This window comes from Homo sapiens, chromosome 16 (genome assembly GCF_000001405.40).
Source record: "Homo sapiens chromosome 16, GRCh38.p14 Primary Assembly".
In the NCBI taxonomy this organism is placed as follows: Eukaryota; Metazoa; Chordata; class Mammalia; order Primates; family Hominidae; genus Homo; species Homo sapiens.
In genome coordinates, this window is record NC_000016.10 from 63,651,729 (window position 1) to 63,674,866 (window position 23,138).

Genomic DNA, 23,138 nt, shown 5'->3' on the forward strand with positions numbered 1-23,138 from the left:
TATATAAGTGAACCAAATTATTTATTCCTTTATGGCAAAAATTTGTTATTGCTACTGTTGTGGTTGTATTTGTTTGTGTGTTTGTGTGCATGTGTGGTGTCTGTGTAGGTGTACAGCTTACATGTAGCAAGAGGCACAAATGTTAAGCATACAGCTTTTCTAACATTTACATGTGAATACACTCACATGTTTAATAAATGGATTGATTTCCAGGGATACTACTCAAAATCTAGGCAAAAAGTTTTGTCCCGATCAGTATTAGTAGCTCATTAAATTGAAAAATCCAAGATTTCTATATGGGGGGACCTTAGAGTTGCCAATATGTGTTCTCGAGATCTTTCCTGCAGGCTCCATTTTGCATAGCAAGCTTTCTGTTTTCACTTGTATTGTTTATTTATCTTGGGTGATTTGGGGATCAGTACCTATGAAATTAAAGGCAGAGGCACTAAAATACATTGTGTGAATCTGGGAGGGACCATTCATATTGTAATTTACCCTAGTGGTACCCTGTTGATAGTATGCTGGGATTGCAGTGATGAGCTAAAGCTCTCCCAAACCACTCTTTGGCCGCTATCCCTAGCACCATTGTGTTCATCATGTTCAAAGGAACTGCTGACAATGATTCTCTTTGTTTGTTAAACACATAAATGAGCTCATAGTTTGGTGCTGATTAACAAATACACTGAATTTAGAGAACTTGATACACAGCCCACTGACCTTGTTACTTGTATTCCATCTTGAAATCCACTCAGTAGTTACACCAATATTATAATACCAATGATTGGGCTTGATCCCAGTTTTCTCGTGTCAAAAAGAGAAAAATTTTTAAATAAAGCCAACTAGGGTGGGTTTAGTGACAATAAAATTTTGTTTAAATGTATAAAGCAAATAGCCCAATGTCTAAAACTTAATGTAACTACAATAAAACCATTTTCTCTTCCAGGTCATTTCTAAATTTTGTAAAAAGAATAAAATTAAAGGCACATCTTTATTTTTCTGTGAAGTATATCTTTAATTTCATACCCCCATTTCTTCTGGTTTGAGACTACCTCTAAGATACCATGCTATATCCCAGTACTTTTTCTTACCCAAGTCATTTGTTTACCTGCATCAGTTTTCTAGTAATTTTGGCATGGAACACTATCAAAGACATTTATAATTAGATGAGTAATATTTGTTCCAGATTATTCCTTTACCCCCTTTCTTTAATGGAACTGTGAATATTTGTGATCTGTTTATATAGTTACATATATATAACCTTTAAAAGTTTCCCTTTGTCTACTTATATGTTGAAGAATTAATGAACTTAGTTCTTTGTGAAAAAGGAATAAAGCAAGCAGATGTGGGAGAAGTCCACTTTACGACTTCAGTGAACTGGTTGTGTTCTGATTAAAGAATAATGCTTAGAATTTCATATTGTCAACACAAGGGAAATTAGCATGTCCATATTTGAATTTAGTGCATAATTTGGCATGCAGTATAAGACCATAAATATGCTAGTACGTGCCTACGTAACAATTTGTGGCATGAATCACATGTAATATTTACTCTGAGTTGGTTTTAAAGCGCATTTGGAAACCAGAATTAACCAGATGACACTTTATTATGTATTGGGACTGATGTAATGTAAAATTTAATTACATAATATTTCACACACAGCTGTGACAAAACATATATGAGCTTCCAAGATTCGCCAGCTAAACTGACATGAAGATCTTTTGGGAAGATTATCAAAGTGGGTTACCTTCTCTGGATAAATGAGAGTCTGTTTATATGTCCTGAGGCTCTTTTCTTAAATACTCAAATGCCATTTGTACCAAGTTCCTTTGAGAGAACAGATATGCTCTAGAGAATCTGTTACAACAAAGCAAAACAAACAGATCATCTGCAGCACCTTGAAAAGCATCACATGTAGTTGATGAGCTCGCCCTACTATAATCCCCTTTGTGTTTACAAAGCTTCAGATTTTTGGTATCTAATTGCTAGCAAACAGTAGATAATAAAATGCACTCATCAAACCAAACAGGATTTGAGTTCATTTTGTGGCTACATTGTCTCTGTCTAAAAAAATTTTATCTGAAATGTGCTTAATGAAAAGCCATTTTACACCTAGAGAGAGAAATTTAATTAGAATAAAGTGAATGAGCTGCCAATACCATCAATTCAGTGAACATTTTAGTATTTACTCGGCACTGCGCAAGGAGACGAAGAGATATGGGAGATTGATTTTTTTAAAGGTTTGTGTTTCCAGAACTTTCTATTTGAGGTTATGTGGTAGTGTGGGAAACAGTCTCAAAGGCTGCAGAAGAGACCCTTTGATGCCCCCTTCCATGCTTCTGTTTCAAGAGCATCCTAACATTAGTCCAAGCTGAGCAAGGGAGATGGAAGGAGTCACTCAAAACTAAATCCGCATTTAAAACAATACATTTGGCCAGGTGCCTGTAATCCCAGCACTCTGGGAGGCTAAGGCAGGCGGATCACCTGAGGTCAGGAGATCGACACCAGCCTGGCCAACATGGCAAAACCCTGTCCCTACTAATAATACAAAAATTAGATGGTTATAGTGGTGGGTACCTGTAATCCCAGCTACTGGGGAGACTGAGGCAGGAGAATCACTTAAACCTGGCAGGCAGAGGTTGCAGTGAGTCGAGATCACGCCACTGCACTCCAGCCTGGGCTATGACAGAATGAATCCCTGTCTTAAATAAATAAATACACAGATACATAAATAAATAAAACAATACTTTGATGAGGCCCTTTCCCACATAGGCTGTGATCTGCTCTTACTCTGTGGCCCTCTCTGGCACTAGGGCTTCCTACTAGTTCTCAGATCTTCCTTCAGATGTGTTTCAAGGAGGGGAGTTGGTGAAGAATGGAACTGTGAAAGTCTGGATCTTCATCACAGTAGCCTTAAAAGGAAGCTCTTTTGCTAGCTTCAGGTTATCTTAACCTGCAATTCAAAGATGCAAAGCTGGCCAGGATATGTGGTAAATAATGTCAGTAAGGTTGACCCTTAGAACAATTCTGGGGTGAAATAACACACAAAGGGTTCCTGATTCATTAAAGGCAGCTGAATTCTGACAGCAAATCTGTAGCCATAAAATTGAGGGCAGCTATAACAGACTTCGATGTCAGTTTCTCCATAAAGGGGCAGTTTATATTCTCTTACCCTGAAATTATTCTTGCAATTACACAGCTGACTTTAATATGCTTTGACCAGTTCTGATAATGTTGTCCATGCCTTTATTCTTCTATCTATATTGCCCCTTCTCCCTACAATATTCATCATCTATAGCTCAACTCATAGTTCTGAATACCACCCAGCATCACTTTTTTAAGGAAATTCCTCTCTGTAATTCAGGTATCTCAGTAATTCCACTATGAAAACATTTTAAATTATGCATTGGGATTGTCTATTTTGTCTGCCTCCACCACCAGGTTGTAAACTTCTTAAGAAAGAGCATAGCCTCTTCCTGTGTGTCTCCAGGTTCAAGCACCATGCCTGGTACAATGTAAGTGCTGAACTAAAGAAGAAAAATCAGCTAAGAAATCCCTTTTACTGAATTTGTCTCATAAATTTATGATTTATAGCACTCCAAGCTCTCAAAGAAAGATAGAGATCATTGCATTTAAGGATTCTCAACCATTCTGGTCACAGGACAAATGACAGTTACATTTGCAAGTACCACTTATGGGATATATTTATATTTTGGGGAAAAATGCAAGATTATAAATTAATACAATAATTTTTAATCACCATACTCAAGAACAGACTAATAATATCATTCTGTTCACTATGGTCCTGGATTAATTAATTTTCAGACTTTTGCAATTTCAGAAATCTTAACTGTAGATTCACCCATCAAAATCTACATCACAATGGCCAGGAATTGCCTGTTTAATTTTTTATTATTCAGATTATAAACCCTATGTAGGCAAGTCTGTGTAACAGAAAATTCAGTGACTTAATGGGTACCGTATATGATTCCCTCTGGTGAGATTTTGACTTAAGAGACACAAACACTCTTTATTATAAGTCATGACTTGTATTCAAGTTTCATGTAAAATAATATGTGAAGCCATATGTGAACTTATACAGGGCAAGACACCAGAAAGAGCTCTATCATAGCAAGAAGAGATACCACGAAATTGTATTTCTATTTCATTGAACTCCTGATGATGCCGGGTGAAAGGCTAGTGATTTGACTCTCATACATATTGAAATTCTCACAGAACAAAAGTCTGAGTCTTTTTCCCAGAGTCTGGTATCCAGTCCTACTAGGTCTTTGTGTGCTGACTGTGAAAGCAGTGAGCAACAGGAGCCCACACGCCCGCAATCATCATTGTTCCTATGAGATTATCTCAATAAATGCTGCTCTAACAAGCCTGTGCATGTGTGCATCTTAATCATTTGGCCTTGTTTGCTTGAACTAAGCAACATTTTCCCCATGTCCTAACCCACAGCATAATTAATTCTTCATTCTTCCTTTTGTGTTAATGCTGAAATTTATATTGGTTGTTTTCTCCAAAATCCATAATCAAAATTTGAGGTTGCAGAATATCCTGGGAAATCCATTTGCCATCCTCTTGATATAGAGTCCTCTTTTCTATATGTATTCATTTTAATTTATTCCATAATTTAATTAATGTACATTTTCCACCAAGAGATGTTTATACAATTTTTAGCCCTTTTATGCTCTGCTCTTACACTTGATTGATAATTGGTTTTGATATAGAAGCCTAGGATTCAAGTATTTTTTAATGAGAATTTTGATAGCATTATTGTGATATATTTTAATATCCAATATTACTGTTGACAAGTCTTATTCTATATGCATTTACATTATTTTGCACATGACCTGTTAGTCTATTTAGAAGACAGTGAAGATCATTATCTCTGATGTTCTAAAACTTCATGATTGTATACCATGGTGTGTTTGTGTGTGTGTGTGTGTTTGTCTGTGTGTGTGAGTGTGCATTACTCTGTTTCCTTTAGGCTTTTTGAACACTTTCAAGTATCTTCTTCTGTGTTTTTACTGTTATCTCTATCTAAAACTTGAATTAAATTTTGAGACTTCCAATTACACTTTTAAAAAAGTTTGCATCTTCTACTTTTCATATTTTAATTTTTGCTTTTGGCTTACTCTTAATACCTTCTCTTGATGTTATCTCTTCAGCATTCTAATGATTAAGGAATACATGCACACACACACACTTATATGAAATGTTCTTAACTAAAAAATAATTTTATTTGCTCTTTGAATTTTATGATTTCCTATTGGCTTGATTGGTCGCTCTCATGTTGGAGTATTTCCTCAAGTATTTAGTAGTCCTTGGGTATCCATTCAATAAAGCAACAAAACATGCATAGAGAAAGTATTAATGACTAGTTATCCTTGGGTTACAGTCTATATATTGTAGCCCAACATTTTATTTGGGATATGTATGTGGAGGTGTTTGGGTCATTCAGTATCTCCAAAAGAGAATCCTCTCATCTCTTGCTTGAGTATGAATAAGCCACAATTCCAAAATGTTGTGAAAACAATGGCTAAAGAAGAAATAGTCTTCAGTACACTATGTAAATCATTACTTTTTCACTTTTAACTGTCCCATCCCCTGTTCACCTTACCTCCACATTCTGACTAGTATGGCTGAACCCAGGTATTTTGATTAAATTTCTCTAAATAATAAACCTAAATAAACCGATTTCTCTAAATAATAAAAGAAAGAGTCATTGGAGGAGGAAGGAGTAATTTCTAAGGTGTGTGAGATAAAAGAGAAGCAGGAGAGATACAAAAGAATATTTGTAAAGACCCTGTGTTCACACCTTCAACAATCCACCTTCTAATTCTGAACCCCCCACCACCCACCAGGGGTTCTGCAGGGCAAATTGTCCAATTTCTGTCTTTCCCCTCAGAACGCACTTATGATTTAACTTTCTTCTGTAACAGTTGCAACTCCTCCTCCTCCACCTGTATTCTAGCTGCCAAATTTGCTGAAAAAATTGGTCTGCTCTTTTCTTGTTATCGTTCTCTTTGTCATTTAAATAAATAGCACCTTACTCCTCTTTTTCTGCAGCATAGTGAAGGGTTAAAGGGAGGAAAATTAAACTGCATGTGGTCAATACCTTGCATTATATTTATTAGATCGGTGCAAAAGCTATCACGGATTTTGCCATTGAAAGTTACAATTAAAAAAAGCAGGCCCAGCGCGGTGGCTCACGCCTGTAATCCCAGCACTTTGGGAGGCCGAGGTGGGCGGATCACGAGGTCAGGAGATGGAGATGGAGATCGAGATCATCCTGGCTAACACGGTGAAACCCCATCTCTACTAAAAATACAAAAAATTAGTCGGGCGTGGTGGCAGGCGCCTGTAGTCCCAGCTACTCCAGAGGCTGAGGCAGGAGAATGGCATGAACCCAGGAGGCGGAGCTTGCAGTGAGCCGAGATCACGCCACTTCACTCCAGCCTGGCCGACAGAGCGAAACTCCGTCTCAAAAAAAAAAAAAAAAAAAAAAGCAAAGAACATCTAAATGTTGAAAGAAACAACAAATTGATCTCAGTTTCAAATTATTAGATTTGAAAGGAAAATTTTAAAATATGTAGTTACATGAATGAGGGGCATAGGAGTCACACGTTTTTGCTTATGCAAACAGAAAACTTAACGACATATAAAACACAGATGTGAAAATTTAAATGGCTGGCACAGAAAACCAGATTGACTACTCTAAGGCAGGAAAACAAGTAAACATTTTTCAACTCCAAATTATCTTCAGTGCTTGAAACAGGAGGAAAAGTAGTCAAACACATCCCTGTGGAAGAAAATGGATGCAACACTTGGAAAAAATAATATGGCAATATGAATAAGAATCATTTTTATGCTACCTATTTTATTAATTCTGATTCTGGCACTCTAGCTTATGAAGTGGCAGGGAGAGGCAAATATTGTAATAATAAATAAATCATGTATAATTGGTGAAAGAAGGAAAATAGGAAGAAAAGAAAGACAAACGACAGGAAGAAAAAAAAACCTGGATAAAAACTGGTAACCAAGACATTTTCCTACATAAAAATAATATATGCATAAGACAGACTGTATGAAGTTCTTAAAAATGGCTTCTTTCATATGTTCCTTGGCTGCATAAATGTCTTCTTTTGAGAAGTGTCTGTTCATATCCTTCACCCACTTTTTGGTGGGGTTGTTTGGTTTTTTCTTGTAAATTTGTTTATTTGTAGATTCTGGATATTAGCCACTTGTCAGATGGACAGATTGCAAGAATTTTCTCCCATTTTGTAGGCTGCCTGTTCACTATGATGATAGTTTCTTTTGCTGTGCAGAAGCTCTTTAGTTTAATTAGATCCCATTTGTCAATTTTGGCTTTTGTTGTCATTGCTTTTGGCGTTTTTGTCAAGAAATCTTTGCCCATGCTTACGTCCTGAATGGTATTGCCTAGGTTTTCTTCTGGGGTTTTTTTATAATTTCAGGTCTTACATTTAAGTCTTTGAGCAATCCTATTACTGGGTATATACCCAAAGGATTACAAATCATCCTATTAAAAAGACACATGCACACATATGTTTATTGTGGCACTTTTCACAATAGCAAAGACTCGGAACCAACCCAAATGTCCATCAATAATAGACTGGATAAAGAAAATATGGCACATATACACCATGGGATACTATGCAGCCATAAAAATGGATGAGTTCATGTCCTTTGCAGGGACATGGATGAAGCTGGGAAACATCATTCTCAGCAAACTATCACAAGAACAGAAAACCAAATACTGCATATTGTCACTCATGAATGGGAGCTAAACAATAAGAGACACATGGACACAAGGAGGGAAGCATCACACACCGGGGCCTGTTATGGGATGGGGGGCTAGGGTAGGGATAGCATTAGGAGAAATACCTAATGTAGATGACAGGTTGATGGGTGCAGCATACCACCATGGCACATGTATACCTATGTAACAAACCTGCAGATGCTGCACATGTATCCCAGAACTTAAAATATAATGAAAAATAAAATAAATAAATAATAATAATAATAATAGCTTCATGGCCAGGCACAGTGGCTCTTGCCTGTAATCCCAGCACTTTGGGAGGCCGAGGTGGGTGGATCACCTGAAGTCAGGAGTTCGAGACCAGCCTGGCCAACATGGCAAAACCCCTTCTCCACTAAAAATACAAAAATTAGCAGGGAGTGGTGGCAGGCACCTGTAATCCCAGCTACTGGGAGGCTGAGGCAGGAGAATTGCTTGAACCTGGAAGGCGGAGGTTGCAGTGAGCCGAGATCACATTATTGCACTCTAGCCTGGGAGACAAGAGCGAAACTCCATCTCAATAATAATAATAATAATAATAATAATCATGGCTTCACATATTAAAAAATACCATCTACTAATGGTAGTTTTGAATGTTGGACACAAAATCATGTATGCAATGTGACCACTGCTCACTTGGACAGGTTCGAATCATAATCCTGAAAAACACAATCCCAATGCCGTCATTCCAAATGTTGAAATCCTAAAAGATCACAATCCCTAAATTATAAATCCCTAAAGTCTCAAATCCTTAACACCTAACATCGTGAAAATTTCAATCCCAGGATAGTGGCAACATGTTAGGTAGAACCATTACCTTGTTATCGTCTTTATTTAAAAATGAAGTATGGTTTCAGGAGATGCATATGGGTGCCAAGTGGACAAGGGGCGGACTTGCGAACTTAATTTTAGGTGTCAGTTTGACTGGACTATGGAATACCTACAAACCTGGTAAACGTTATTCTGGGTATGTCTGTGAGGGTGTTTTGAGAGGAGATTAGTGTGTGAGTCTGAGTGGATTCGGTGGAATGCTCATGTCAGTGTATATCGAATCATAGAAGAATTTCAAAGAGGAGGGCATTGTGGAAAATAATGTGAAATAATTCTTTGACGATAACTACATCCTAAAAAATAAAAAGCAGCTATTCATTGTGATGCAAGACTTCAAAATATGCTAATAATCATGAAAGTGGCCAGCTCTTACAGACTATATTCGTGCAATTTCCTAACACCTATCCCCATAATACACTTTTCCATATGTCAAATTATCTTGTTAGGTTTTAGTATTTTTTCACTATTTTAAATTGTAAGCAGTATTTTTTTTTTGTAATTTGCTATGGCTACATATTTCATCTCTATTTCCAATAGTGTAGGTATAAATTGTTTAAAGACTTTTAGAGAGTTCTAATTTGTAGTATGCATTTTTTGCAAACTTAATTCCGCAAAAGTGTATTATCACAACATTGACTTTGTGTGTAAGCATCATGCATGTACATAAAAACATTGAAACTTCCTCAGTAAATGAAGAGATGTCCTTTTTGTCCATCTGCATTTATGAAAGATAAAATTTCTAGAGATCTTGGCTCTTTAACTGCATATGAAGAGGTGACAACATTGCCATTTTTGATTGATCTATCAAAAGACTTTGGTTGTTCTTCACAATAATTCAGATGCTGGGTGTACACAGTTACCAACTATAATAATATCTGTTTATACATTTCCCTTTGACCTATTTCTTTAAAAATATGTTTTGTCTGCTTATAACTATTACACTATTACACCCATGCGACTGTCTTTACTGTACCTGAGTGCCTATGCTTGCAGCAATATGTATGTTACTATCACCTGTTTTATTGTGTGTTTTTATGATTCTGAAATGAATCCCCTTCTAAAAATATAAATAATCATCTTTTAAATAACTTTTAAATTGTTTTATTCAAAATTATATTGGCAGATAATTGATCTTTTGAGATTGTGATTTTTTGACCCTAGGGATTTTGATCTTTCAGAATTTCAATATTTGGGATTTGGCATTTAGGATTGTGTCTTTTGTGGGTATAATCGGCTCCCACTTGGACTGGCCCTTGAATTCAGAAGACTCTTGAAACTTAGCAACCATTTGTTCATCTGTCTTTGGTGCATTCCAACAAGTCCTACTTCAGTATAATTCCTATGTGTTCAGAATAAGCCCAGAAAACCACAGTTGCTGACTGTATGCAGTTGAACAAAATAGGCAACTGATATTTTTCTCTTCTTCTTCCTTTAAACAAGGCAACATTTTCATAAGTAGGAGTTGAGGCATTGAAAGATGAAATTGGCACCTTTGTTATAAGAGAGACAATTGGAAACTGACCATCTGAATCTTTGTTTAATGCTAGCAATGTTATGTCTTATAAGAGTCTGTTAGTTGGCTGGGTGCGGTGGCTCACACCTGTAATCCCAGCACTTTGGGAGGCCGAGATGGGCGGATCACGAGGTCAGGAGATCGAAACCATCCTGGCTAACACCGTGAAACCCCGTCTCTACTAAAAATACAAAAAATTAGCCGGGCGTGGTGGCGGGCACCTGTAGTCCCAGCTACTCGGAAGGCTGAGGCAGGAGAATGGCATGAAGCCGGGAGGCAGAGCTGGCAGTGAGCCGAGATTGCACCACTGTACTCCAGACTGGGCGACAGAGTGAGACTCCATCTCAAAAAAAAAAAAAGAGTCTGTTAGTTATGGAAAGTGATGGAGGGTTAACTTCGGTGAGGGTGCACATTATAATCTCTTATGACATCAGCTGTCTTTTCTAGTAAAAGTCTAAAGGGCAACACAATTGGAATCTTGTTTACTTTGTTTCCAAGGATGAGTTTTACTTCTGAAGGGGGGGAGTACCTGGCAGAATGAAATAGTTTTTATTTATTTATTTATTTTTATTGCATTTTTGAGCCAGGATCTCACTCTGTCGCCCAAGCTGGAGTGCAGCAGTGCGATCATGGCTCACTGCAGCCTTAACCTCCCAGGATCAAGTGATCCTCGCATCTCTGCCTCCAGAGAAGCTGGGACTACAGGTGTGCACCAGGATGTCTGTCTAATGTTTGTATTTTTCACAGATACAGGGTCTTGCCATGTTGCCCAGACTAGTCTCAAACTTCTGGGCTCAAGCAATCCACCTGCTTCAGCCTCCCAAAGTGCTGGGATTACAGGTGTGGGCCACTACACCAGCCTACGTTTTTATTAACACATGAATTTACCCATGTAGCCCCTCCATTGCAGAATGCAATGAAGATTTTTGTGTGCTTCTCTCATGAAACTTATTACATTGTCATTTGTTTTTTGAGATGGAGTCTCACTCTGTTGCCCAGGCTGGAGTGCAGTGGCATGATCTTGTCTCACTGCAAACTCCGCCTCCCAGGTTCAAGCGATTCTCCTGCCTCAGCCTCCCAAGTAGCTGGATTACAGGTGTGTGCCACCAGACCTGACTAATTTTTGTATTTTTAGTAGAGATTAGTTTCACCATGTTAGTCAGGCTGGTCTCAAACTCCTGACCTCAATTGATCCACCCACCTCGGCCTCCCAAAGTGCTGGAATTAGAGCATGAGCCACAGACCCGGTCCAATTTTATTTTTTATAATTATTCATTGTAATATCCATTATTCTACAAGCGTCATTCTATGTAAATAGCAAGTGCCAGATATGGCCATTTGGGCAAGTCATGTGATAACACAGAAAACAACACATACACTTGTCTCTCTGCCACCACACATAAAATCTGTGATTCTACCCTTTACTTGCTGCATCTTAGTTGCTTGGCACAGTGCCAGACAAAATAAAAGGTATTATCTAAGTTTATCTTTACATAAATTGATGAGTTCATAAGTGAACTCAGGTGTTGGTGCCTTGTATTTTGTTCCTATTTTTAAAAGATGTTAAATATTAAATGTATCTCTTGCATTCTCTCATTTCTCTCTCTCCTGGCCCTCCCCTCTCTCCCTGTTATTGGAAGCTTGAGGCTAACCAATCTTGCCCATCAATAAACGTTACATGAATGAATGAATGAATGGTGGTTCATGATCAAGGTCTCCAGATTGCATCCCTGATATTCTTCTTTTCTCACATTCTTTTCTTAGCACATTCTCCCTAGTCAATCTCAGCAACTGTAATCATTTTAGCCATTATGCCTATGCAGAAAATGTCCAAATAAATGTCTTCAAATCAGAATCCTTCTGACCTTCCAATCCATGAGTAGCTCTGCCAACTTGTTATCTACCAATATGACCTACTGGCTCCACAAACTGAATTTTTTTGAATATTTTTATAACCCATCTTTTTGTGCTGTCCATCCATAATACTCTGCTTTCAAGTAGCTCATATTCTAGTCAGGAGGAATACATAAAAAATAAGTATAAAATACATTATGAAGATCGTTATATAATGGTATTTCAGACCCTTGTCATTTGGCATCTTGACTCTAGCAATTGCCTTTTGCTTCTTATCTTTTCTTTAATCCATCCTCTTTGGACTGATCTTCTAACATATTGATGGGTTTAGCAGAGATAGATAAATGTAGGGAGTTCCTAGGATGAATGTCCTGGAAAAGGGTGGGGTGTTCTGCTTTTCTTCCAGGAAAAGTTGACATATAATGCCAGATGTTGATACTTAAAAATATGTCTGAAATAGTGCCAACATTCAAATCAGAATATATATGTTGTTGCCATCCAAATTCCAAACAATAAGGTTGAGATGATAATAGTCGCTGAGTTACAGTGACAAAAAGTATTGGTCAAAGGGAAATAAGAAATAAACAGAAAAGTCAACTGAATAAATAAAAAGTCGGCAATCAGCAGGTGGTTTAGAAAAATTCTGAACTTAAGTTGTCAAAAACACAATTGTAAATTTTATGCCCATTTTTATCTGTGCCTATTTGTTGAGAAATATTTATATAGAGGGTCAGTTATACAGCAAAGAAATATTTCCATTACATAACCATCTTCATAATGTATTTTATAGTTCTTTTTTATGTATTCCTCCTGACTACAATATGAGCTTCTTGAAAACAGAGATGGCATTTTCTTTATCATGTTAATTCTAGTACTTAGTTTAAGACCTGAGCCAGAATAAGTGGCCATGAATGTTGGTTGAATTAATGAATGAAAAATTATCATAAGGCAGCAACAAGAACGTCACTTAAATAACTGAATAGTGGTGTAATTATAATAAAACTGCCCAGAACTTTTTGCTGAAATATTTTCCTGATCTTGGTAAATTCAGATGATGCCAGCTTCTTTTTTCCTCCAAGCTCTGTCTCTGCATCTCTTTGCCAGGTCTCACATCAGCAGTATTCTAAGGAAAACTTAGAAAACCTTTAATGACTTTGGAGATATCTTCTCAAAGTGATGTTGTGAGAAGAGTGATTTCATGCTGAATTCCATTCACTTCTGAGAGGGGCTTATACCATTCCTTGCAACAGCAGGCACTCCAAAACAGCAGCCAAGAAGGAAAGCAATGGTAGGGAGATTCCCCTCCCTGCTGTTGATGAAAGAGTTTTTAGAATGAAGCTTATTGATCCTTGGTAAGTGAATGGTGCAATTGTGAAGTCTCCCTCCACGATATTAAAGCAAAACCCATTCTAAAGGAAGTCCTGCCTAACCCACTAAGCTGACTCTATTGAACAAATTGATAAGGCCTCCCCATCTTTTAGTGATGTATTCCTGGAAAGGCTTTTTCCCAGGATGTGGGTCCATTTCGAGTGAATCACATAGTTACTTGTCTCTCAGGGAAGCAGATCCATTAGGCAGTAATCTTAGAGGAGGGGAAATGCCATGCTCTTACTTGCCAAAATGAATTGCTTGCTAATATTTCTGCTTTGAAAGCACTTAAGGTAACTTCTGCTTCATAAAGTTACTTATTAAAAGTCAAAAAGTTTAATATTGTTAAATTTTCTAACAGCAATCAGCAGTGGGATTCAGAATCATACTATTCCACATTTCAGAGAAGCATCACAAATCAGCTGGTGTCATGGGAGTACTTGAATTTCTGCCCAGGTATTCCTTTGTAAGGCCTCTGTTAGAACCTTACCCCAAGCAAGAGCTGCTGTTGCTGACAGTACCACAGCTGATGTGTGATTTTAGACAAAATTTCTTAATTGCTGCAGATCCACACAGATTATGTAGGCACAGTGATTATTCTCAGTGATGAGAGTGACTAGAATGTTCGCACCTCCTGTGCAAGCTATATCTGGTTGAGATTTTACATGTATTTATTGAATGCCTAATATATGGCAGGCACAGAGCTGATGCATTTCCACATGGTTGCATTTAACTTTCACAACAATTTTGTGAAGTTTCTAATATTGTCTCCATTTTACAAGTGATGAAATTTAAGTACAGACAACTTAAGTGTTTTTTCCTAAAATCATAGAGATGAAGTAGGAAACAAAAGATTAGAAGTCAGGTTTCCTGATTCTAACTTAGAGCTATTTCCTATACTCTCAACATATGACCTCTTATCTTTCTACATTGACTTTAAAGGATTTAATACCTCATGCTCAGATGGTGCCTGGCAATTCCTGTTCATTGTCTCTATTTTCCAAGCATCTTATTATCTAATTTAAAAAAAAACCGGAACATGTACTTTTTTGGAAACCTTATATTACAAACATTATGTTGTTCTGTTATTTAAACCAAGATTCAGCAAATTACCACATGCTCTTGTAAATAAAACTTTATTGAAAGATAGTCACACCCATTTGTCTATGTATTGTCTATGGCTGCTTTTTTCCTGCGATGGCAGAGCTGAGAAGCAGCAACACAAACTTCATTGCCTGCAAAGTCTAAAATATTTATAATTTGGCCTTTTACAGACTCCTGCCATAGAGAATTTAGAGTTCTAACTCTGAACGTGGCCCTTATATTAGTGTTAATCCATGTATGTGTCCAATTTGCTTTAGTGTACTAAGATGCCCCTAGATAATGCTAATGTAATTATACATTTTAAATTAAAGTATTGTCTAAAATGTTTGCTCACTCTTGGTTTAAGCCATGAAAAATCATTCACAGAAATTATTTGCCTTCGTGCGTAAATGTGCTGGGATGTTCACATACGCACTTTAAAATGTCAGGCAAATCATTTCTTGAAAAAGGCTGGGTTTGCATATGAATGTTGTATCTACATATATATGTTTCTGCCACCTCTCATACCCCATCTTTCATTCCAGCTATTGCTGCAATGACAAGTTTTCTAGAAAAACATTTAGAATAGCTTGTCTCAGCTGAGCCACATTTCTCTCTCTTGCTGTCTTAGGGTTTCTTTGATGCCACAGGATGGGATGTCTGGAGGTATCTATTCCCATGCAGTACGAAACTGGACAAGGAAGGGATTTACATCCCATGGTCAATCCTTAACTCATAGGATTAAACAACAACACAAAACAGTAGATAATACCTCTTTTTTTTTTTTTTTCCAAGCCTCGCTCTGTCGCCCAGGCTGGGGTGCAGTGGCGCAATCTCGGCTCACTGCAAGCTCCGCCTCCCGGGTTCACGCCATTCTCCTGCCTCAGCCTCCTGAGTAGCTGGGACTACAGGCGCGCACCACCACGCCCCGCTAATTTTTTGTATTTTTAGTAGAGACGGGGTTTCACCTTGTTACCTTGTTAGCCAGGATGGTCTCCATCTCCCGACCGCATGATCTGCCCGCCTCGGCCTCCCAAAGTGCTGGGATTACAGGCATGAGACACCACGCCCAGCAGATGACACCTCTTAATTTTGTCCCCTGCTCACACAACTCAGAGACGCATTCCACATGGATCCTTAGATATTCTTAGAGATGTAGAAGCTCAGATGCCCATAATGAGGACTAGTTTTATAATACACCCTTAGACTGGCTTTTTGTTCTTCCCTCTTTACCCTATCTAATTCCTCACTCCTAATCCCTAGGATCACTTCCTGAAATAAAATAACTACACTTATACACCCACTCGAACCCACAGAATATAGAAATATATGTGTATTGTTATATTAGAGTTGGCAAATGAGATGTTTACTTCCAGCAATTTCCCCCTACCATGACCACAGCATCCCTTATTATGCCTGTATGTTGCCATGAACAAGGAGCCTCTGAATCTTTTTCTATATAGCATGTTTGAAAATTGCTACTAAATATCCAAAGTCACCACTGGAAATAAAAATCTCTGTCATACCCAGTAACTCCAATACTATGTAAGCCTAAATGTAATGCGTGTGTGGCGAGAGATGGGAGAGGATAAGTGCTCACAGGCATACACATATACTATGGCATCACACAAAATTTATTTTGAATTATGTTTTATTATTGAATACATTCAAAATATAATTTTATATTACATAGTGACATATATTGTTATAGTGCATGTAATATAATTATTTGAAAACTGGCTATGTATATACATGGATACATATATATGTACATATCCACAATGGTTGAGTTAGCATTCAACATCAAAGAAACCACAAAACAGAGAAATTCAAAATAGAACAAAAATACTAATACAAAGCAGTGATATAATTTTGATCAAGCCTATGAAATTAGATTTAATTATTAGAATTCATTTTGTTTAATATTCATTCTTAGGTTCTCATATTTTAAAATTGTGAATGTTTTTCTTCATTTTTTTGGACTGAGAAACAAGGGTAATGTGAAACACAATGCAGTATGGGGTTGCCGTTTTGTGGTACTATTAGTTAATTCAGTTAGCACAATGTCTTCTCTCAGGAAACAGCAAGACAGTGTTTATCAGTCAGGTCCTAATATAACTGGCATCATCAGGCTTAATAGACAATATATTCTACTACAAGTTTAAAGAAGATACAGACATGCTCTTCAAAATGATGTCTCTTATACTCACCTTCCATAAAATCTGATGTCATAATATTATATCTTTACTCTGTGAAGGTATTTTCCTGTCGGCTGCAGGAATTATGTCTTCTAGTGCCATAAAATCTGTCCTTGATCCACAAAAGAGAGGCTTCTAGAGAAAATATAGTCTCTCAACACGAGTTGGAGTGATGAAGAGATTATGGGGCCTACAGTAAGACTCTCATATGTCTAAGTCTGGGATGTGTGTATATGTGTGTGTGTCCTTCTTTGACCCTCTGTCTCATTCTCAGTAGTATTTTTATTGCTCCTGTAATGAATTACCAAAAACTTACTGGCTTAAAACATCACAAATTTACTACAGTATGGTTCTTCAGGCCAGAAGTCAGATGCAGGTTTCACTGGACTAAAATCAGCATGTTGGCAGAACTACATTTATTATTGGAGGCCCTGGGAGATAATTTTTTTTCTTGTCCATTCTATCTTCTAAAGCCCATCTACACTTATTTTTCCTGTCTCCCTTGCTCTATCTTTGAGATCAGTAACGGCATTTTCCTTATCATTATTTTATACTTATATTGTTCTCTGATCATGGCTGAGAATGGTTCCCTTCTTTCATGGACCTGTGTAATTAGAAATCTCACTCAAAATAATCTTCTCATCTCATAGTCTACATATTATTCCATTCTTGCACTGCTATAAGGATATACCTGAGACTGGATGATTTATAAAGGGAAGAGGTTTAATTGGCTCACAGTTCTACAAGCTGTACAGGAAGCATGGCTGGGAAAGCCTCAGGAAACTTAGAATCATGGTAGAAGACAAAGGGGAAGCAGGCACGTCTTACATAGCCAGAATAAAAGGAAAAGAAGAGGAAGGAGTGCCAGACACTTTTAAACAAACAGATCTCATGAGAACTCTATCATAAGAACAGCACCAAAGGGGGAAATCTGCCTCCAAGATCCAATAACCTCCTACAAGGCCCCACCTCCAACACTGGGGATTAGAATTCAACATGAGATTTGTGTGGAGACACACAGATCCAAACCATATCAGTCTACAACCTTAATCACATCTGAAAAATTACTTTTTCCATGTAAGATAACATATTCATAGGGTCTGTGGATTCGTGTGTGGACATCTTTGGAGAAAGGACATGAGTCTACCTATCATATCAATATGGAGACTAAAAATATCTGTCTTATTAAACTACATGGTTGATTTAATCAGATGATTTGGGTAAAGTGCCTACCATACTCTAGCCTACACTGGGTGATTTATAGGTGTAAGCAATTTTTCCAATTTTCCTCATTTCCTTTTAGGTACTTAAACACTATGAAGTTTTTATGAGGCAGACATATAAGAATACTGGTGCATGTTAAAAACCATGTGTCATATTCCTGGGTGATGATACTAACCTAGAACAGACACAGATTAAGAAGTGAGAAAAAAATATTCATTTAGTCAAATAGAAACATTCATGTGCACAAAGGTTGTAAATTCACTAAGGAAGAACAATGTAAAAATATATTGATACTTTTTACCCACATCATTCTTATGATCTCACTGTTAATAGTCTATTTTTATATATTTCAAAACTATATAGAGCCATTCTTGGGAAGCAGTAATTTTTTTTCTTATTTATTATAGTATTTCTGTACCAAATGTTGTATGTGAGCATGTGTGTACTTCTGCAATACTTTTATCATAATTACTACAGATATATTTATATAACATACAGCATTTTATATAATGGTTCTTATAATGCATAAATATATGTTAAGCAAGGTAGTGCAATATAAAAATACACACATGTATATGTATGTATGTACTCTGTGTTTGATTTATTCACATATACCTGTGTTTGAGTTCTCCATCTGTTCATAAATAATTCAGTGTGTTAGAACAACATTTTGCATACATTAAATTCACAATATTTAGCTGTTATATCTGTGTGTTTATATATATACATATATATCTATATGAGTTTATAGACACACACTTTCTTTTTCACCTTTTAAGTGTCATGGCTTTTGTTCTTGCCAGATCCCCAAATCATGAAATATAGTAAAATGGTTGTGGTTTCAAGCTGTTAACTATTGGCGTCATTTATTTCATAGTGATTGATAATGATATAAGGTTGAAGTCAAGAATGGTATTGAATTCCTAAGCAGTCAGTCCACAGGAGATGATGGAATGAAAGATAGTATTTCAGGCCATTGGTTAAAGACAAGTAGAGATTAGAAGAAAAAGATCATGCATTCTCAAAATGGAAAAAATTGAACCCTATGTTTTAAATTCAGTTTTAAAGAAAACTGGCTATTTGAAACTTCAACATAGTACAGATACATAAATGTGAAAGATAGGATGTGTGCTATATTTTCTACGTTGGGTCTAAGTAGGTTCTTTAGGAAAGAAAGAAAGAAGAGGGAGAAAGGAAATAAAGAGAGAAATTAAGAAAGTCATGCAGGGCAGGTACAGTGATTCACACCTGTTTTCTCAGCACTTCAGGAGGCTGAAGTGGGAGGATCACTTGAGACCAGGAATTCGAGGCCAGCCTGGGCAACATAGCAAGACTTTGTCTCTACTAAAAAATATTTTAACAAGAAATTAATTGGTCTTGACAGTGCATTTCTGTAGTTTCAGCTACTCAGAAGCTGAGGCAGGAGCATCACTGAGCCCAGGAATTCAAGGTTGGAGTGAGCTATGATCATGATTACACCACTGCACTCCAGCCTGGGAAAACAGGGGAGACCCTGTCAAAAAAAAAAAAACAAAAAGAAGAAAAAAGAAAAGAAAAGTAAAAAATGTGAGACAGAGGTTTTGAATGAGATGCAAATCAATACGTAGGTCAAATAAGCCAGGGTCTAAGTAATCAGTTTTCCATAAACTTAAAGGGCCAGTTCTTGCAATCTGTTATAGATAGGATGCCATTTTCTTCTCTTTTTCTTTTTTGTACTTTTAAACCTTCCAGATGCACATGATATAATTCAGGCTTTTTAGAAATTGTGGTTCCTCTTGAAACCACAAGGATGCTGCTTTCAAATAAGTAGCTACTTTCAGTGTATTTAGCTGTTTCTTGAATGTATCCATCAAAATGTAATGGTAATTTAGCCCACAGTGCATGATAGAACATGGTTTGGAAACACCACTATTTATGTTGAGGACTCCTTCACTTGCAGCATATGCTGCTCCCTTTCCTTAGAATCTCCTCTTTCTGGGCCAGGCGCGGTGGGTCATGCCTGTAATCCCAGCACTTTGGGAGGCCAAGGTGGGTGGATCACCTGAGGTCAAGAGTTCGAGACCAGCCTGGCCAATATAGTGACCTGTCTCCACTAAAAATACAAAAAATTAGCTGGGTGTGGTGGTGGGCACCTGTAATCCCAGGTACTTGGGAGGCTGAGGCAGGAGAATCGCTTAAACCTGGAAGGCAGTGGTTTCAGTGAGCTGAGATCGCGCCATTACTCTCCAGCCTTGGCAAGAAGAGCAAAACTCCTTCCCCACTCCCCCTCTCCCAAAAAAAGAATCTCCTCTTTCCTTTTGCTTCTTCATGATAGACATATCATGAATTCATCCTCTTGTTGTTAAAAGTGAGTTTAGCATAGCCTACTGGATTCTGAGCTAGATTGCTCAGGCCCAAATTCTGTACCACTTACTGGCTGTAAGACCCTGGCAAAGTCATTTAATTTCTCTTTGCCTCTAATTTATATCTTAGTGGTCTAAAAATGGCATTGTTCCTTCAATACGCATGTTTATTAAAAGAAATGAAAGAGCTGATGTACATAAAACAGTTTGAAGGTACCAGGCTTGTAGTACGAACTCAAAACACACAATATTATAGACTCAAAATCAATGTTTCTTTGAAGACTTCTCAGAATCCTCAAGTAAGTTTCATTCCCCATCATATTTTTCCACCATAGCACTTTTTAAAATCACACAGAGCAGGATTAAAACAAACTTTGTTGTCAAGCATTTGCTGTTTGACCTTGAAAAAGTAATTTAACAAACTCGAAGTTTGTTTTTTTTTTCCTACCCACATTACATCAACATTGTAAGAACTTATATAAAATATATAAAGGACCTTAAACCTTGAAGTCACCTAGTGGTGGATAGCTATTATACTGGCATTGCCAAAAGTTATAAGGCTTGGCTATTCATAGAAGCACATTATGGAGTCTTAGGAATAAATAATCCTGCTTAGACAGAATCACATTGTTATTCTGTTTTTTAAACAAAAGTAATTTAACGCCTTCCAGATAAGCTCAACTTTCATATGTTGTCACCTGAGGCCAGAGAGAGTATCGGTGGGAAACCAACTGGTATAAATAGATATGGTTATCTGCTCTCTAAGTGTCTTTGGGCCTGTGAATTGATGGCTCTATAGCCAGATTTCCCAAAGTTTGTAAGAGGGTTTCTGTTCTGCTGAAGCTTTTACCTGTGCATTAAAAAACTCAGAGTCACTTCCTTCATATAAGAAGTCTTAAGTTTGCCTTTTTACTCAAAGAGATCAATAAATCCAGCTCTTGATTTTATTCTAAGCATTCATTCGCCACTAATACAAAACTGAATGAAAAATACTTTTTTTCTTACTCTCAAAGAAGAAATCATCATCAGAACAAAAGGTTCCACATATTTAGTGCCAACAAAGCCATGTTGTTTCATGTGCATTATTTCATCTAATTCATACCAAGATCCTATGACTTTGATACTGTTATTATTTGCATCATGTAATAGAAGAGGCTCCTGAAACTTTTGTTTAAAAACCAGAATAGTAAATTAATATTCACAGCAAATAAGAGGTGGAAAAAAGATTTAAACTCAGTTCTTTCTTACTTCAAAACCCTGATTTTTCCATTAACTTACACTGTCTTTCAAAAATAATAGTTAATTAGCACATATTACAGAGAAATAGAGCTGAACTGGAGGTCAAATTATGTAAGCTAAATGCCCACACTTTATTTGTAAAGTGAAGAACCACTTGATAAGAGGATGACAGAAAAGGACAATTTGGTAAGAAGACCTTTATCTGAGTTCAATTCTTAGGGCTAAAAACTAAAATGCGTGGGTAGGACATGTATTCTTGTCCCACATCCATGAATTATTACTATGTGAATTTAAGGTAGTTACTGATTTTCATAAGTTGTTTCCTCGGCAAGCTGACCTGTGACAAAAATTTGTGAGCAAGTTTTTCTTTTCTTCTTTTTTTTTTTTTGAATCATCCTAGATATCTTAGTAGGGAAATAGGAAGTCAATGCCGGTCACAGTGTAGGCAAACAGGGTTCAGTCCCACTTGAGATCTTTGGGAGTTTGCAAAGGACAATTAAAACCTCATGTCTCCCAGGAAGAGTGAAGAAGCCGGAGCATTTCTCTACCAACTCCTGTCCATCACAGAGCAGGGAATGCTCTAGAAGTATTAATCCCTATCATTTCTGGGCTGCTCCATGGAGGTGAGCCTGCTCCAATTGCAAAACTCTCAGTCAAATGTCACAAGTTCTGGAAGCAGAAAACCATGAATGTATATAAAAATGGTAAGTGCTAAGGACATACAGATAAGGTGCTGACATTGCCTATACTCACAAAATCCAAAATTTTCTGTCCATAAAACAGGAATAATAACTCATGGTCTGTCCAGTGTAAATATTTTTCAGGCATAAATAACATGAATACTAAAATGGTTTGAAGGAAAAATTTTAACCAAATGCTATTTGTTGTTATTTTTGGTTAAATCATTAAGCTTTTGTGGTAGCAAAATCTTATTAAATTACCTTAAGTGGCTCCCTTCCATGATGACAAATCTAGCATTTCTCATTTCATCTCTTTGCTAAGCTGATGAGAGATACACATACGTGATTGCCTTCCTCTTTTTTTGAGACAGAGTCTCACTCTGTCGCCCAGGCTGGAGTGCAGTGGCGCGAGATCGGCTCACTGCAACTTCTGCCTCCCGAGTTCAAGCGATTCTCCTGCCTCAGCCTCCTGAGTAGCTGGGACTACAGGCGTGCACTACCACACTTGGCTAATTTTTTGTATTTTTAGTAGAGACAGAGTTTCAACGTGTTAGCCAGGGTGGTCTCGATCTCCTGACCTTGTGATCGGCCCGCCTCAACCTCTCAAAGTGCTGGGATTACAGGTGTGAGCTACTGCTCCCGCCCATAAGTGATTGTCTTTCAAGGAATTTACTTTTGGACTTTTCAATTTAGGAGAAGAGTTTTTTCTTACGATATGTTCAGGAAACAATTTAAAAAGACATTCTTGGGGAAGAATGCCTCAGTCATCTTTGGGTATCCCTGGTAAGTACTATATATGTTAAAGGTGATTCATAAATATTTGATAGATACATGAATGAAATGTACAAAGTTTTATATGCTAAAGGCTTTAAAAGTGTGTACTTCTAAGTTTATTATTATTATTATTTTGTGACAGGGTCTCACTGTCCCCCAGGCTGGAGTTCAGTGGTGCGATCACAGTTCACTGCACCTTCCACC

General features: G+C 37.2%; 1 annotated feature.

Moving 5' to 3' along the window:
- Positions 242 to 870: an enhancer, noted in NCBI's record as "NANOG hESC enhancer chr16:63685874-63686502 (GRCh37/hg19 assembly coordinates)". NCBI's record gives its function as "activates a minimal SCP1, AML or CMV promoter by ChIP-STARR-seq in primed H9 embryonic stem cells {active_cell/tissue: H9 hESC(primed)}" and the evidence as "EXISTENCE:reporter gene assay evidence [ECO:0000049][PMID:30033119]".